At 37.0% G+C, this 19663-nt stretch overlaps 1 protein-coding gene across 3 annotated transcripts in view; it reads left to right on the top strand.

The window, feature by feature from the left end:
• Positions 1-19663, top strand: part of KCNH5 (potassium voltage-gated channel subfamily H member 5) — a 345995-nt gene that overhangs the window by 49249 nt on the left and 277083 nt on the right. For all 3 annotated transcript variants that reach the window (NM_172375.3, NM_139318.5, XM_047431275.1), the window contains exons 5-6: positions 9023-9138; positions 14946-15338. In NM_172375.3, the coding sequence (NP_758963.1) occupies positions 9023-9138; positions 14946-15338 (509 nt within the window). The remainder of the gene's footprint in view (positions 1-9022; positions 9139-14945; positions 15339-19663) is intronic.

The following is a 19663-nucleotide window of genomic DNA, read 5'->3' as shown; positions in this document are numbered from 1 at the left end:
TAAGTCAGCATCCTATATCTTGAAGCTAGCAGTGTAGGAAAGTACATTTTAAAATATTGGCATAAGCACCTATCTTTCTACTTTTTAAATCAAGTAAAGGAACCATGGAACTTTTGGGAAATAATGGGTGCGATGACATGATAACACCATAATATCAAAATAATTTGGGTGTAGATCATTGAACTTGGGTAGAGTAGACTTGCTGTTGATTCAGTTTTGGGCACCAGAGTTACTTAACCTGAGCCTGTTCAGGACTCTTACAGGAATATTTTATCCTCCTTGTCTTACATTTATCTATTTTTTTTTTCCCAACCAAAAATTGGGAATATGGTACAGGCATGATTCTAAGTCCTGGAGATACAAAGTCTCTTCTGTCACATTCTAGTGGGGGAGGCAAACTAGTAAATATATAGTGGAAGCTTTCTTTTGATTGCTCCCGTTGTCTCAGTAAAAACAGGAATCACAGTTATCAACTGAGAGTAAAGATGGTGAAGGGTGTGAGAAGAGTGGAGTGCGTCTGAACTAGTTATCTAAGAGAGTGGAATAGTGAGTGGACAAGAGAAACACAGCAGGATTTCTGAGCTGCACAAAGGTCCATTTCAGGCTAGTGGTCATAAATTTCACTAGTTATCTATGAGCATAATATTGTGTTTTAATCCACTCATATTTAGTCAAAGAGGTATAGATGCAGAAGTAAGTGAAAAGTTGTGTTTATCCAATGTTGAAATTTGGTCAAGTGAATAAGAGAAGACTCAGGGACTTCAAAGATCTGGGAGTTGAGGATGTTTACAAGGGTGTTTGCAAAATTTTGAAGAAATACTTCATTGATAAAAATTCTGCCAGCATACAAGAAATAGTGTTTTAGCATTCAGGACAGACAAGTGAATCTATACACCGGCAAAATCAGAATGTAATCCCAGAGCAAGGACTTTTTACCTTCTTAACATGAAAAGGGGCCTGATGATTGGAACAAGGGTCCAAGTCCTTTGAGGATTTGCCAAAATTGACTGGAATTAACATTAATCTCCTACTTGTATCGATATTTTTACCAAGAAACTTAGACATATGATTGAAAGACTTAAATAAATGGACTCACTCTGAATTTTATTTCTGATTCATATCTGGGAAAATAACTACAACATGTGATGGCAGCCAACTAATTTGAACGTACCTCTTCCTTGTAATCAATCTATGATTACCAAACTTTTATTCTGAATTGATATTTGATCTTACTGGCACTGGGTAATGTCAACACTATCTTTGAATTATACCATGATGGATGGTTGCAAAACCCATCGAAAGGGAAGGAAGCCAGTGTTGATGGAGTAGTTAATGTATGCCAAGAATTTTATATTCATTATTGGTCATTTCTATAATTCTGAAAATTAGTATTGTTGTCTCCATTTTACTGTTGAAGATTCTGACGCTCAACGTCTGACTGATTTCAAATCCCATGTTCTCTCTATTGCACCCATGCTGCCCCGTCCTTCTCAGTGGAGACTTATTGTTGAGGTTTAACTACCTCAATCCCTTGCTTTCTTTTTTCCCCACAAAAATGAAGCACAGGTTGAGAATACTTTCATTTGGAGAGAATTATGCTGCTTTGAACCAAATAAACTAACTGATAATAATTTAAGGGGGCAAAGTGTTCCCGTTATTTTTTGTTCCTGGTATTGAGGTCTTGATAGTGTTGTTCAGGTAATCAGTCAGTGGTACCTGATACATTATAATAATACAAAGAGGAAAATTACAGCCAAGAAATCCATTCTGTCAGTTATCCATATGTGTTCTAAAAGAGATGGCCTAAATCTCTGCCCATTTATACTGTACAGTATTTTCAAACAGACTCCAAAACTGCCAAGATAATTACAGTGTGAAATATCTTGTGCCAAATAGTTATGGCATTTTCTTGCCAATAATTGTGACAAAAAAATTCCCATAGAATAAAAAATAACAGCCAAAATAGCAAGCTTCTCCTTGTGGAAGCCAATGGTTTTCTTTAGAGAGGAAACAACAGATGAAATATGAGTAATTATACTATGTAATGTAGTCTCTTTGGCCAAGAGCATAATTGTTTACCTAAGCTTTTTACTTATAGATTAGAATCTTGTGTTGCAGTCTAGTAGATTGATTTAACTGCCTCTGTGACTTCTTTTTATTTTTAAGATTAGGCAGTCCATGACAAAGAGGTTAATTGCAACCCAATAGAGCTAAACTAATATTTTATTAAGAAGGAGCTGGCATCCTGAGCTTTTAGGAGAACAAATATTCTCATAATGCCATGAACAACTTACAGAGCAAGTATTAGGCTCTTCATATTCAGCTCTCTGTTTGCATTACCCTGTATCGACCACATCTAAGTAACATTAGCAAACTTTGCTGAATAATCAGTCACACCAGTTAGATCTCTGTAAAGGTGAGATCAGTAAATGTATCACTTGGAAAAGTTAGAACTGCTGATACGTCTTTTTTCTCTGACCTAGACAGTATGGCAGCTCAACTTTTTCAAAGTTTATACAGTACAAGTTGGTGGGAGATCAAATGAACTAATATAGGTAATAATAGGTAATTCCAGATGTGTTCAGGAACACAAAGGGATTGGTATAAGACATTGTTAGTGATAGCAAAAATTTAGAATCTACTTCAAAGTACATGATTGAAACGTATGTGTGATCAGGAAGGAGCAAATGATCAATTCTCTGAGATGATAGGGGTGCAGGTAAGAACCAGGTGCCATAGTGGTTTAGTCTGGAGGTGGATGGGAGAGAAGGGGAACTGAAGGCTGTCACATTTCTATGACCATTTTGTCCAAAGCAATCTACAGATTCAATGCCATTCTTATCAAAATACCAATGTCATTTTTTACAGAATTAGAAAAATAATTCTAAAATTCATATGGAACTAAAAAAACCCCAAATAGCCAAAGTAGTCTTAAGCAAAAAGAATAAAGCTGAAGACATCACATTACCTGACTTCAAGTTATATTACAAAGCTATGTTAACCCAAACAGCACAGTACTGGTATAAGAAATAGACACATTGATTAATAGAACAGAATAGATAGTCCAGAAATAAAGCCACATATTTACAGACAACTGATCTTTGACAAAGCCAATAAGAACATATATTGGGGAAAGGAGACCTTTTTCAATAACTGGTGCTGGGATAATTGGATTGCCATATGCAGAAGAATGAAACAGGACCCCCCTATCTCTTGTCATATACAAAAATCAACTCAAGATGGATTAGCTTAAACATAAGACTTGAAGTTATAAAAATACTAGGAGAAAATCTAGGAAAAACTCTTCTGGACATTGGTGTAGGCAAAGAATTCATGACAAAGACCTCAAAAGCTGAGGCAACAAAAATGAAAACAGACATATGGAACTTAATTAAACTAAAAGCTTCTATACAGCAAAAGAAAGAACCAACAGAGTGAACAGATGACCTGAAGAAGGGAAGAAAGTATCTGCAAACTATTTATTCAACAGAGGACTAATATCTAGAATTTATAAGGCACCCAATTCAACAACAACAAAATAACTCCATTAAAAAGTGGGCAAAGGACATGAATAGATATTTTTCAAAAGAATACATACAAATGGCCAACAGTATATGAAAAAATACTTGACATCACTAATCATCAGAGAAATGCAAATTAAAACTACAATGAGATACCATCTCACAACAATCAGAATGGCCATTAAAAAGACAAAAAATAGCAGATGTTGGTAAGGATGTGGAGAAAAGGGAACTCTTGTACACTGTTGGTGGGAATGTAGGTTAGTACAACCTCAATGGAAAACAATATGGAGATTTCTCAAACAACTAAAAATAGAACTACCATTTGATCTGGCAGTCCTGCTACTGGATATGTACCAAAAGAAAATAAATCTTTACACAAAAAAGATACCTGCACTCATATGTTTATTGCAGCACTATTCACAATTGCAAAGATAGAATCAATCTAATTATCCATCAGTGGATGACTGGATAAAGAACATGTGGCATATATACACAATGGGATGCTACTCAGCCATAAAAAAGAATGAAATCATGTCTTCTGCAGCAACATGGATGGAATTGGAATCCGTTATCTTAAGTGAACCAACCCAGACACAGAAAGACAAATATCAAATAATCTCACTCATAAGTGGGTGTTAAAAAAATGTGTACACATGGATGTAGAGAGTGGAATGATAGACATTGGAGACTTGGGAGGGTGAAGGCGTGGGAGAGGGTGGATGATGAGAAATTCTTAATGAGTACAATATATGTTATTCAGGTCACAGTTACCCTAAAAGCCCTGACCATTATACAATTGATACATGTAAAGAAATTGCACTTGTACCTCATAACTTTATATAAATTAAAAAGAAGACTATCATGTTTCTTATGGCTTCTGCTTTTTTCAATAACATTTTTGGCAGGGGTTTGTGCTGACAGTAAGGAGAGAAGGACAGCATAGGTGTTGTGAGAAAAATGCTAACTCTTTGGAACTGGAACTGCAAGAAGGCCCTAATCAGAGTCAAATAAAAAGATTACTGAGTAGCTCAGAAAGCTCATCTCTGAATGCTCCCATTGATTTTAATGTGTACCAAAACATTCATTTGCTTTGCATTGATTCTCCATGTTCTAGGGCATTTTGATAGCAAAACTCATAAACGATTACTCAATTTTACAACCGCCTTTGGCTTTGATTTATCTAGGAAGAAAGAATCCTTTCCAAGTCTTTTCTCCTAAATTTCTCTCTTCTGGTCCGTCTGAGTCAGTTCAACATTTGCCACCACTTTTTTTTCTTTTTTCTGCCAGCAGTTCCCCAGTTCTCTTTCTGAAAGCAGATTATAATCCTTAACACTTCCAGAATTCCTTCTCTAACCTTCCCTACCATGCCTTTCCTACCTTCTTCAACCAAAAGACTTCCTTCATATAAGCTATGCTAATACCTAAGAACTGAATGTATTTTCTTCTTTAAATTTTAAATATTTACATATAATGCAGATGCTGTACTCCTATTTATTTCCTCATTAATCATCATTAATTCATTCACTAAACAAAACCATTCAGTAAAACATTCCACAAAAACAGATCTAGTGCCCACTATGTGTTAGTCAACCAAGGTAATATGGTCTGGCTCTGTGTCCCCACCCAAATCTCATCTTGAATTTTAATTTGAATTGTAATCCCCACATTGGGGGAGGGACCTCATGGGAGGTGATTAGATCATGGGGGTGATCCCCCCATGCTGTTCTCATTATAGTGAGTAAATTCTCTGAGATCTGATGGTTTTATAAGGGGATTTTCCCCTCTTGGCTCGGCACTTCTCCTTCCTGCCACCATGTGAAGAAGGATGTGTTTGCTTTCCCTTCTGCCATGATTGTATCTTTCCCAAGGCCTCTCCAGCCATGTGTAACTGTGAGTCAATTAAACCTCTTTCCTTCATATGTTACCCAGTCTCAGGCAGTTCTTTATAGCAGCATGAGAACGGACTAATACACAAGGATAGAAAATATAAGATCTGGCAACTAAAAGTCGCACGATGCAGTCACTTCCCTTTTCATCTATGTTCAAGGGTAGTCTTACTCAGAATATGCTGATTTAAAACATTTTTAGAATGATGGGTTAATATTACCTTTCTCTTTCATTTTCTTTCTGTTTTTCAAATCAATGATAGTCCTATTTTTATTCATGGAGAAAAATGCATGTGTTTTATTTTTACTGTTTAAAAATGATTTTTTTTCTTCAAGAAAGTAAAATAAGGTAAAGAAAAGAGATGAAATATTCCTTGATCACACTGACTTCATGTGTAAATTAAGGTACACACATACACAGACATTTGAACAAGCTTTTTTTGTATTAGGAACAACTGCTTCCTCCTTAAGAAACACAGTTGTAGTCTGTGCTCATGATGCTTCAAATGGAAAGCCAGAGGATGACAATAAGCTTTCATTGTCATATTTCTCCTTTCTCACACTTATTTTCATGTATGATACTGTGAAATCAGAGAAAACATGCCATTTGATGATTTGTATTTGTTTATGGATCATTTAATTTATTCCTAAATGTCTCCTTTTTTTTTCAAAATGTTTTCTGGATAAACCTTTTTTTCACACAGGGAACGAAAGTGGGCTTTTCTTTTAATCCAATGAGTTATACCAAGGGCTGTAATTTTACCTGTTTTAGAAATCTGAGCCTTCAGTAAGTAAAAGATTGACTTGGAATTTTCTAGAAATAGTCAAGGCAATTATAACATTCTATTGATGTAAGGTGCACAGATTATCACCAGGTAAAATTATAATATACCTATGACTAATATAGTTACTGTCATCCAAAGACGCCCTCACCACTTTTACCAAACAAAGCAAAACCAAACCAAAAACCAATGATAATAAAACAAAATGAGATTTATTTTATATCTGATTTTTAAAGTTACAAATACAATTGATTTATTTTATGGTGTATTTTATGCCAGGCCTTGTTTCAAGTGCTAAGAATGGAGGGATAAACAAGAGTTTAGCAAGAGTGGCTATTATATCAATCAACAATTACATCAGTGTTGTTAGTGCCAGGTGAGGTATGCATCCCATGATGTGCGTGTACAGAGGAGGGCACCTCTCACTTGTGGGTGGATCAAAGAAGCATCCAGGTAATGCTTTTACTGAGTCTGCAGTTACCAGTAAGTGTTAGCCAGAAAGATGGGGGAGGGAAAAGACATTCCAGGAAGGCAGAATGATTGTAACATGTGAAAATACGGAAACACAAAACAGCGTAGGGTGTGCAAAGAATTCCTAGTAGATTTAATTTTAGTTTTGAATTTATTCTTTATTTGATTTGCTATTGATTTTAATAAGGCTGGGATGCAGAGCATGTGTGAGAAAGTGGCAAGAGACAGAGGCAGAGCAAATCACTTGGATCAGAAAATAAATGACCTGTATACCAAGGATATACAGTGTTATCCTGGAGGCCTTCAGGTTTCTGTTAAAGGGTAATAGGGTAAAAGGCATGTGTTTTAGAAAGAACTTTGCAAGCAATGAGGATGTGGTTTTGGAATGCTGCCTAACTCGGGTGAAAGACGTTGTGTTGTCTGACATAGTAGGGGTGCAGAGAGGAGATTCAATTTGAGAGATATTTATTGATGTTATAATCTATAAGGCTAGGAAATAAGTGTGTGTGTGTGTATGTGTGTGTGTGTAGGTAATAGTGAAAAGAGGATGGCGAATTTCATGTTTCTCATTTGGGCATTAGAAATATCTTGGGGCCATTTGACAAGATCAGGGATGCATGAGTGAGGCAGAGTGGGTGATAAAGGGGGAAGATGGTGTCAGTTTTGGACATGTTGAGTGTTGTCAGATGCCTGTAGAATACTGTAGTAAGAAAAGTCCAGTGGCTAGCTAGACACATAGGTCTGGCATTCAAAAGAAAAGTCTCAATTTGTCATAGAGATTGCATGTTGGTTTTTCATTAATGTTGAGTTTTTAGAGAGTTGGTGTCATATCTAATACCCTTTTTTTTTGTTTCCACAGCACATTGTACAGGGTAAGCCTTAGGGTTGCATACAATTCCCAAAACCTAACTTTTTTTTTGTTCTAATTACTAGGATGGGGTCCAATAATGTAGAAGAAATAAAGACTCTCCATCAATTGATGCCAGTTTATTTCTTTTCCAATCCAGTTATTGATACATAGACCTGAATTGGTGGGGCAATACAAAGCTTAAATTAAATTAGAATCAGCCTGAAGAATAGTAGTAAAGAATGATGTCACCTGCATTTTATGGTTTGACAGATATTAGGCAGGTGTATTTCCAGAATTTCTTCCTTAATTTTTTTTTTGTCATATCATCTGAAATTTCATCATTGTCATCATTCCTTTGGAACATCAGGAGTTTTTCAGTTTTAAGGAGTTGCCTGATAAATGACCTCATGAAGGGTAATTGTGTAGAAGTTATCAGATAGTGTTAATAAAATTTTTTAATGAATTGGAGCTTTTGAGATATCTAGGGAAAGGATAATTGAGACAGGATGAGAGTATGGCTGGTTTTGTTCTATTTGTTCACTTCTTATTGACATTTCCTTGAGATTAATGATTTTATTACTGGCAATTTGAGGCCCCAGAAGAAAATTCTTTCCCATTAAATTGCATTTCTTTCCCCCAAAAGTCACTGCTCTTTCAGAAGACATTATTAACAATTCTAGATATTCCAAAAATAAATTTAGGTATCACTGCAGTTGTTAATAACAGATAAATAACATTTTGCTATGTTACAAGGAAGATGGAAGTGTGTGAAATGAACCATAAAAAGTAAGATTTGTTGAAATTCAGTTTTATTCTCTTATATCTGCACACAAACACATTGAAGGACTATTATAATTAGGGTAAGACTAGCTGCTGTAACAAATAAATCCCCAACTTTTAGTGGCTTAATACAATAGAAGCACATTTCTTGCTCATGTAACAGTCCAAGGCAAACGATCCTGGCTGGCATATGGCATTTTCCCACACAGTTATTCAGCAGCTTTGCTATCCCCTTGGGCCTTGTCCAGCTGGTAGAAAGAAAGAGAAATTGTGGAGAAGTCACAGTTGTTTCTTAAATCACGGCATGGAAGTGACACACATTACTTCTGTCTGCATTCCATTGGTGAGAACCAGGGACATAGGCCATACTGAGATGCAAGAAATTCTGGGAAGTATGTTCCTAATTGGACAGCTATTTCCCAGTAAGAAAGCTGTACAATGCAAGGAGGAGCACAGAATTTTGTGGATAGCTAGTTGCATTGGCTACAGGGACTATACACAGATATGGGCAAAATACAAAGGTCACACATAAAAATTGCTCATTATTTTATGGCCACACTTCAAATATATGAGCATGTCTATACAGAAGGAAAGAAAATACTTTTGTTTGATACTTTGCATTCATTTTGGATGTTATGTGGTTGCTGAGATCTTTTTAATGCTAGCAAGAATGTTGGATTCCTTATTCATTTGTATGAAAAACTGAGACTTTCTTTCCTTATTTTTAAGGTTGGACGAAATTTGCCCGATTGACACGGGCTTTGACAAATAGCCGAAGTGTTTTGCAGCAGCTCACGCCAATGAATAAAACAGAGGTGGTCCATAAACATTCAAGACTAGCTGAAGTAAGTATGAGATGAATTTTGCTTCCCAAGATGGTGGTGTTGGTACATTTTTCTTCCCTAAAATGATTTAATATAGATATTTCTGGCTATGATCTTATAAATACTTAGCTGATAATTTATGTTTCCCTTGTAGAAATATAGAAATCCCAAATATTTCTATTCATTCTCTCCAACTTTTGAAATGGGAGTGTAGCTCATGACATCCCAGGTCATGTCTGTAGAGTGTAAGGTTTTCTTTGAGCATATCAGATAGGGAGTTCTTTCATTGCTTCATGCATATATGCAGCAAACACATATTCAGGGTATGCTCTGTGCTTGGCACTCTGCAAAGGATGTAAAGTTAAATAAGAAATGGGCCCTGTCATCAAGGAGTTAAATATCCAGCAGAGGAAACTGATCATAAGATGTGAAAAGATGCAATGACAGGGTGCTGTGGGAGCCTGTGCAGGAGAATTTGCCCAAATGTGGGGCCCTAGGGAAGGCTGTGTGAGTGAGATGATACCTGGGCTGAGTGAATTCTGAAGGGAAAATGTGAGAGCTAGTCAGGTAAAGAAGGGATATAGTTTATTCCTACCAGGGAGGCCAGCATGTACAAAGGGTCAGAGATGAGGTAGTATGGTGACGTTGAGTATGACTTTACTGTAGTTGAACTCATATGGGGAAGGAGAAGGTAGGGTGGCATATAGTGAAATGGTGGTGGTTGGTGTCTCATGTGCCAGGAAAATGACCTTTGTGCCTCAGAAAAACCTCTCAAAGGGAGGTGGGTCCTAATTGGTTTCTTTTGCAATTTCATGTTTTTATTGTGTTAATTCAAAAACTTTATTCTAAGAAGAGGTCCATAGTTTTTACCAGATTGCCATAGGGATCCAAGGCACAAAATGATTAAAAACTCCTGCTTGGCCTAGTGGCTCTGTGGAGAATGGGGAGGTAGGGAAACCAGTGAGGAAGTCCTAGCAGTAAGTAAGTTAGCATGACCACGGTTGTCAGCAGGATAGTGGTAGCAGAAGTGGGTGGATTGCAGACACATTAAGATTAGAGTGAACACATTTGTTAATACATTAGAATAGTGTGTGAAACAAGGGGTTGAGTCCAGGACAATTCTATGTTTTTGATTTAGATGACAGGGTAGATAGTTCTGTTGGTTAATAAAATGACGAATGTAAGATGAAGGAAAGAAGATTTGAGGACAATGATCATGAGTTCAGTTTGGGGCATACAAAGTTTGAAGAGCCCCATAGGAAGCCCTAGTGGAGATGCCTGAACAGCAGGGAGATTTATGGGTCTGGCACTCTGGAAGGATATTTGAGTTTGAATTGTAGGCTTCAGTGTCATCTTCACAGTTATGGCTGTTCAAGTCATGTGACTAGACGATGTTACCCTGAGACTAAGGAGAAAAAAAATGAGGACAGAACTCTGAGGCAGCTAATAGCTTTATTGTTCACATGTCTTCTATAACCATAATTTGTATTACTGGTATGAAAGATGCCAAAAAGCTCATTAAGCTACCAAAACTATGCTGAGCACTACGTTTGCACTCACAAAATATTCTCAGGTAACTTTTACCAAAAAAGAGAAAGATAAAATCCATACGCTTATCAGTTTTCTCTGCTGCAGAAAAGTGAGTCGAAGCACTTCAGAGTAATTTTCTTAACTTGTCGTAAATATTGAATCTGGTTTGGAGGGGATTAGGAAGTAAAGTATGTTCCCTGAATTTAGAAGACTATGGAGTTTTTCTTAGACCATGGCTAACAAAAAGACTTTTGGTTTTCTGCTCTAAATAGCACTGTTAGCTTGGGGAAAGATGAATCCTTTGATGTGCAGACATGTTTCTGAAGACCAAAATAAGACATTAATATAACTAAATATTAACTAGTAATAATAATCACAATATTTAAAAGATAATATGCAATTAGTACAAGATTTAAAGCAGACAATGAGATACAACTTTCTTTTGCAAAAATGCTTAGATTTTGGAGCTAGTTCCTCTTCTGCCTAAAGTTGCCTGTTTCTTTCTGCAAATCAAGCTGAAATGTAGGAGGTTGTTTCTGTGATTGTGAATTTTTATAGTCATGATTCCTTTGGGGTCTTAACCACACCTGATTCAGGATTTTTCTTTTGTCTGTTACACAACAGAGCGACAACAAGTGAAAGGGGGCCATAGAGAAGACAATCTTCTCCCTTAGCACCCAGAATCACTCAGAATTGTTTTTTCACTGTATCAACGGAAAAGAAAGAAACTTTCCCCTTGACATTTTCTCATTTTTATTTTTGAGAAACGTATTCCTATTTCATCCCATCTGTTTTTTTTTTCTTTGCTCTGTGATTAGTGTTAGTTTCTTTACCAGTCATCCCTTATTCATAAACCTGGTTCTGATATAAAACTGCTTTCTGTCAGATCTTAGGGTCGATTTCAGAGAGCATACAGAAATAACAAGATTGTCGATAGACATTTAGTCTGAATACCTGCAGCGCATGCTCTTAGATCTCCAAAGATAGACATAAAAGAAATACCAAATAAGTATAACAATGTTGTTTTTCCAGTGGTACTCAAAACTCTTGTAATTTGCTCAATGCAAGTATTTGGTTTAGCTATGGAATTTGAGGTGCTTTTACTTTTTCAAAGACAGATAAATTTGATCTCAATTCTACCTGATCCCCCAAATTTGGAGCTGATCCCCAGTTTCAAAGATTCCAGTCTCCATAAAGGTAGTTAATTAATTTTCTGCGTGCATTGACACCCTGCTGATTGCCTTTAGCTTGTTCACTTTTATGTTGGGTAGAGATAAATATATACGCCCTGCCACATCAGTCAGTGGGCCTGACTTTGTTAGAGTCAATGCTCTCAGATCTTCAGAGAGGAAGAATGTGTCTGTATTGGTACAAAAATACATCAAAAAATGTGATTTCATCCTCCTTCCACCAAAGGCTTATTGCTTATAGAAGCACAAATGACATAACAATGAAAATGAAGAGTCTGTTACTGTTTTATGAAAGAGCCCAGGAACAGAGTGAAGATTAGTAGTGCTTTGCATATGAAAAAGATGAAGCTTATTTTTTGTGCACTGTTTTTTGTTGTTGCCATTTTCCTCTTCTTCCTCCTCCTTGTCCTCCTCTACCCTTTCCTCCTCCTTTTTGTCCCCATCTTGCATTTTTTTGGAGGGCTTTACATATGCAAATCACTGTCTAGAGAATTGGGTCCTGAATGTCTAAAGAAATGTAAGACAGATATCTTACCTTGGGCTGTACATTGTAATCACCTGGGAAGGTTTTGAAAATATAGATTCTCTGAGAACCCAAACAAGACCAATTTAATCATTCTCCAGGGTGGAGTCTAGGTATAAGTATACTGTATTCTTTTAAAACTTCCCCAGATGATTCTAATATATAGCCAGGTTTAAGACTTTCTGAACTCAGGGTGATGCCATTCCATCTTTAGAGGAGACCTGCATTAATCCAGGCTACTGAGCAGGGCTTACATCTGTCAGCACAGTAGGCACAGTGTCCAGGGCCCCACAACACTTTTACGGGTCTATAGGATGTTTCAATTTCTATTAACAGCAGAAGAAAACAGGGTAATTTTAGGTAAAAACAAAAACTGAATGTGTGATATTAATATATTTATCTGTTATAATATACACACACACACACATATGTATATATATGTATATATACATACACACTTTTTTTTTTTTTTGAGACTGAGTCTCGCTCTGTCACCCAGGCTGGAGTGCAGTGAGTGGTGTGATCTCAGCTCACTGGAACCTCTGCCTCCCAGGTTCAAGTGATTCTCCTGCCTCAGCCTCCAGAGAAGCTGGGACTGCAGGCACGTGCCAACAAGCCCGGCTAATTTTTGTATTTTTAGTAGGACGGGGTTTCACCATGAAGGAGTCTAGGAAGGCACAAAGGCTTAGGGTCCACGAAGGTGGTAATGCACCCTGGTACTGAGTTTGTTCTTATTTCCCAAGTTTGATTTATTTGTGGTTAAACATAGACTGTGTATATATAGATGGTAAACTACTAACATTGAATATGAAGGCAATTTTCATGTTTAACACAATGAAATTGGAATTGACAGGCCAGTAGTTGAAAAGCAAAAGAAAAGACATGATTATGTACAATTGTATAATACTTCACCCCAACATGAATCTTACCTCCTGGTAGGATGATTTGCTGTTAAGTAATTTAAGACATCATGGGAAAAACATAACTGAGGTACTGATAATGGCAAATACATAAAATATCTTTATAAGTATTCTTACAAACACCAAAATAAAAATAACAATTCTAACATACAATTAAAGGGACCACCAGTGATGTTTTCCATATCAAAAATAGTAAAAATGGATATTATATTCTTAGTTTTCAGATATGTAAGTTCTGTATATGAGAGGAACTTTAGGATACTCTCCCAAGCTGCCAAAGATGCTAGTATATTTGTTTTGTTTTGTGGCATATATTATAACTCAGAGTTACATGCTAACAAGTATTTTTATTTTTATCCATTCTTACATCTAAATATTTAATGCATTTATGATTTTATGATTTGGCCTTTTTGACTCCTACCTTCTGGGTCCCATTAGTCCTAGAGACACTGAATAACTGAATACATACAATGGGCAAATCTGTTGAAAATATTTAAAAATTTCCATTTACCAAACTCTTTAACACATACATTGTCTTTGGCTTCATTGATGGCACAGGGCAGAAGTTTTTGATTTATCCCTTCAACTGTCTTTTTTTTTTTGAGACGGAGTCTCGCTCTGTCGCCAGGCTGGAGTGCAGTGGCACAATCTCAGTTTACTGCAACCTCTGCCTCCTGCATTCAAGTGGTTCTCCTGCCTCTGCTTCCTGAGTAGTTGGGATTATAGGCACGCACCACCACGCCCATCTAATATTTGTATTTTTAGTAGAGACAGCGTTTCACCATGTTGGCCAGGATGGTCTCGATCTCCTGACCTCGTGATCTCGCCTCAACTGTTTTTTATAATTCCCAGGTTCCAGGTTCCAGAAGGCAATGCTATGTCCTGTGTTGGTTACCTTTGCCCAGGGATACACAAACCTCTACTCTTGCTCTGTCATCTGCTTTCTATCTTTGTTTTCTGCTGTAATTAGACTTAATTAGTGTAACTCAAGGTTCATATAAACTTACACTAAAATTTTTCCATTTGAATTGGTATACAGAAACAAACTTGAGTATTTAATATTTTTTTCCCTAAAGGAAATTTGCAGTTGGGCAAGAAACACAATATTCTTTAAGTCCAGATCTAAGGGAGGAAGGGAAAAAGCAGGCGATACCCTTTACAACCCTTTACACTGCTGTGCCACCCATCAGGGCCCTTGCTGAGTATCACTCAACAACAGCATCACCAACAGTGGGATGCCGGGGTCCAGCGAGGCCATCAGAATCAAAGTTATGCTTCCTGAGGTGCTAAATGTGTATGAAGAATAGATAATGGTGTCTCACCCAAATAACTGCTGGACAGTCCATGAGAGCCATGTGATTCTAGGCAGGCTTGCAGAGTGAGTGTGCAGGAGGCACTTGCAGAAGTGGACATCCAGCAGTGTTGTGGATCAGTGTTGGCTACTGCATCAGAGCATGCCAGATAGAACAGCAGAAAGATCAGCTTTGGTAGAGTGATTGGACTTGGAGTGACTTCCTCTGAACAAATTTTAGGACAACTCAGGAGAAGAGGGAGGCAAGACTGTGGAGCATGACTGGCTGTGGTTTGACTGCCAGTAGATTTGAATTCATCACTGACTGTGCAGAGATAACCTAGTCATGTATAAATACATTTTCTCTCTTTTAGGTTCTTCAGCTGGGATCAGATATCCTTCCTCAGTATAAACAAGAAGCGCCAAAGACGCCACCACACATTATTTTACATTATTGTGCTTTTAAAACTACTTGGGATTGGGTGATTTTAATTCTTACCTTCTACACCGCCATTATGGTTCCTTATAATGTTTCCTTCAAAACAAAGCAGAACAACATAGCCTGGCTGGTACTGGATAGTGTGGTGGACGTTATTTTTCTGGTTGACATCGTTTTAAATTTTCACACGACTTTCGTGGGGCCCGGTGGAGAGGTCATTTCTGACCCTAAGCTCATAAGGATGAACTATCTGAAAACTTGGTTTGTGATCGATCTGCTGTCTTGTTTACCTTATGACATCATCAATGCCTTTGAAAATGTGGATGAGGTAAGTTTTTCGTTTTGGTTTTCTGAGTACTGTGGGTCATATATTTTGAAAACATCAGGATAAATGGATTCCACAGATAATCCAAACCTCTTTTTAGCCACCACTTTCAACTTTCTTGAAACCCTTGCCAAAAGTTATTATATTTGATTACCTTAAATTAGTTTTCATCTGTTTCTTCTCCTTGATATCTGGTTGAAAGTACTAATTACTGGGAATTGGAGTTTGTGGATGGAAGAAGTGGAGGAGAAGAAAAGCGGCGGCATTTGAAGTCAACTACAGTTCACAAACTACATAATTGATTGAAAGAAGATATTAGATTGGTGCAAAAGTAATTGTGGTTTTCACAATTACTTTTAATGGCAAAAACCACATTTACTTTTATAACAACCTAATAAATAGATGTATTTTCTTTGAAAAGCTGCAGCATTTGAAAACTACTCATTCACAGATCTTTTGACTCCTCCTCTCAAGACACATATGATAACAATGGTAGAGTTAACATAAAGATAAAGAAACTTTTATGAAACAGCAATTCTTGAATTTTTGCCACTTTGGTTTCTTCCTCATAGCTTTTGCTTTACATTTTGTCTGAATATATTTGTGGATATTGGATGACGTATTAGTCCATTTTCACACTGCTATAAAGATACAACCTGAGACTGGGTAATTTATAAACAGAAGAGATTTAATTGACTCACAGTTCCACATGGCTGGAGAGGCCTCAGGAAACTTACAATCCTGGTGGAAACAAGCAAGGACCTTCTTCACATGGCGGCAGGAGAGAAAAAGGAGCACAGGGGAAACTGCCACTTTTAAAACCCCCAGATCGCATGAGATCTCCCTCACTGTCACGGGAACAGCATGGGGAAAACTGCCCCCATAATCTAATCACCTCTCACCAGGTCCCTCTCTTGACATGTGGGGATTACCATTTGAGATGAGATTTGGGTGGGGACACAGAGCCAAACCATATCAGATGACTTCTGATGTCTTGTCTCATGTAAGGCTCTGCTTCTTCAGTGTTATCAGTGCACCTAGAAGTACTTAAAATATGTAGAAGCTTAAAAGACCACTTCATCCACAGCTTCTCAGGCTCTAACTTAATAGTGGATGATATTTAAGTTGTTACACCAAGCTAATAGGATACAACCAGTAATTTCAATTCATAATATATAGAAGAGTCAATATAGAATATGTCTATTATTAAAATATGTTCATTATGATAATATTACTAACTTAATTATCCTAAGATGTTCCTATAGATTCTAGTCTGTAGACTGCTCAGATGGAAAATTCTTTACTCTGTTGTTATTATTATTATAATACATTGTAATATATTATTTCTCTATGTGTGTTGGGAGATAGATTGAAACTTTTCTTCAGTGACTTTTTCTATAAAATATTTACGTTCAACCAACTATAATAATATAAATATTATTTCCCCCAAATTTAAGTGTAGACATTGTATTTTGATATTGTGTATGTAATTATTACTTTATAAATTATGAGAAAAAAATCATAATAATTCATTTTCCAAGTTTTGAGTCCACCTACATCAAGCTTTTAAAGATTTTTTTTTTCAAATTTATCTTCTGAAGTGAGTTAAAGGAGTTAATTTTGAAAATACAAATCACATGATAGGGGACAATAAGCAGTATTTATGTTTTGCACACTACACAGATTATTACATTAATACATTGAGATTTTAGTTATTTAGAGTATAGGCCTAAAGATTTTAATAAAGGCAATCACTCATGTGGAATCTAGAAAAGTTCATCTCATATAGAGTAGAATAATGGTTACCAAGGGGTGGGGTGAATGGAGAGATGGTGGAAGAATACAAAACTTCAGTTAGATGGAACTAAATTCAAGAAATCTATTATACAATATGGTGACTATAGTTAACAATGTACTACATTCTGGAAAAATGCTGAGAAAGTGGGTGTAAAGTGTTCTCACCACAAAAATGATAACTGTGAAGAAACACATACGTTAACTAGCTAGATTTAGTCATTCCACAATGCATACATACTTTAAAACGTCATGTTGTACATAGTAAATACATGCAATTATTTCTGTCAATTAAAAATAATCAAAAGATTGGCTTGATTAGTATTACAGTAAATATATTGTTTAATAATACATTTATAACTATGTAATACTTTTATTTATACATTTATAATTATGTAATATATATTAAAAGATTCTCTCAACTTAGCTCATATTCAAGAAATGCAAAGTAAATCCACACTAAATACAATTTTCTTTCTTTTTTTTTTTTTTTTGAGACGGAGTCTCACTCTGTCGCTCAAGCAGGAGTGCAGGGGCTCTGTCTCGGCTCACTGCAAGCTCCGCCTCCCGGGTTCACGCCATTCTCCGGCCTCAGCTTCCCAAGTAGCTGGGACTACTGGTGCCCGCCACACTAAATACAATTTTCATTTATCACGCTGCAAAGACCGAAACTACGTTAGAACACTAGGCTGTTGAGTGTAGTAGCTAAGTAGGCACACCGCTCAAATCTCCTTTCATCAACACGTGCTGTGTGGAGTACGGTCAGCGGCACCCTGGGTCCAGCTCCTGGCTTTAGAAAGCCTATTGTTACCATCTCTTCTCGACTCAGCATTTGGTGATCTCACAGTGGTAGCTTGAAATTAGCCACAGTGGGCGTATTTACACTACAGAAAGTAGCAAAAGCTACAAATCAAGGCCTTTTTAAAAAACTTTCTGTAGAGCTAGTTGTTAATCATTTTCCAACACATCACTGAACACAGTTAACTGAAGGCTGCTGCCTTTTCTGATCTCCTGCAGCTCACATGTTGAAGCTGGGCTCACACATTTCCCCAGGGCTCTTCCCCGTCAGTGTCTGAGTATGGTGGGAATACTATAACTTGTCCATAACTGCAACTTTTGCTCTGGGACTATCCATTTACTGTGTAAAAGTGTAAGCTTTTTCTTCCTACCTGAGTCTTCCTTCCCTCTTTCACAGGTGTTAGAACTGCATTGTAGTCCAAAGGCTCTTCGTGTTCCCCTCCTCCCCATTTTGTCCTTCCCAGGCATTTACCTCAGTAAAATTCTTGCGTAAATAACCCTGGCTTGGCATCTACTCCTTACAGGACCTCAATTGATCAAGTGGGATGTGGCATATCACTCTCATACACTGCTCAGGGGAGAATGAATTGGTAAAATCTCTATAAAGAACAGTTGGCAATGTTTCATTTTAAAAAAGAGAAGACCCTAGAGGCAACCATTTTCAAATTTTTTCAGGGGATTCTTTTATTATTTGCTTCCATGTCACCAAACAACACGATTACATATCTACCTCTTGGTTTGTCAATTTTAGGTTTTGTCTTTGACTTCTCAACATGAAAGGTGAGATTTTAGCTCCCCTTTCTACTTTCGCTCACTATTTAAATGCACCATTTTCATCACCTCATTCTCACAATATATCATCCTTTTGATTCAATAAATATTAAGTGTTGATATTATTATTATTGTTATTATTATTATTTTTGGTGACAGAGTCTTGCTCTGTCACCCAGGCGAGAGTGCAGTGGTGTGATCACTGCAACCTCTGCCTCCCAGGTTCAAGCGATTCTCCTGCCTCAACTTCCCCAGCAGCTGGGACTAGAGGCGCGCACCACCACACTCGGCTAATTTTTTTTAAATTTTTTTAGTATTTCACCATGATGGCCAGTCTGGTCTTGAACTCCTGACCTCAAGTGATCCGCCCATCTCAGCCTCCCAAAGTGTTGGGATTACAGGCGTGAGCAACTGGGCCTGGCCAAGTGTTGATATTGTTATGACTGCAAATATGCATTTTATAGCTGATCCTTGCAGCATGCTGTAATTACTTTTCTTTTTCTGCACTTTCCATTTTTCTGGGAGCTGATAACTGTCTGATTTTATGTTTTCTATGTTCTTATCACTAATTCAACCACAAAGTTCTCTGACAATTATCTAAATCTCCCTTCATTACATTGATGCAAGAAGTATTCTATCGATATCATTTTCTTAAACAAACCTCTCTTTACTCTTTCACCTGATTGATAGTTAAGCTAGCTATAATATTCTTGGCTAGAGATAATTTTCCTTCAGAATTTTGAAAGATACAATGCCATTGTACTCCTCCAGTAATTCTGATAAGAAACTTGAAGTCATTACGATTTCTGTTCCTTTACATGTGACCTATTTTCTCTTTCTGGAAGTTTCATACACCTTCTCTGTCCTAAGGTTCTGTAACTTTCTGAAGATATGCTTTTGTGCAGATCTATTTTCATCAGTTTTGATGGGTGTTAACTAGGTGGTCCTTTTCAGCCTGGAAAAGC

The sequence above is a fragment of the Homo sapiens genome, chromosome 14, assembly GCF_000001405.40.
Source record: "Homo sapiens chromosome 14, GRCh38.p14 Primary Assembly".
NCBI lineage: Eukaryota > Metazoa > Chordata > Mammalia > Primates > Hominidae > Homo > Homo sapiens.
Note: the sequence above shows the minus strand (reverse complement) of the source record. Positions and strands in the feature narration are given on the sequence as shown.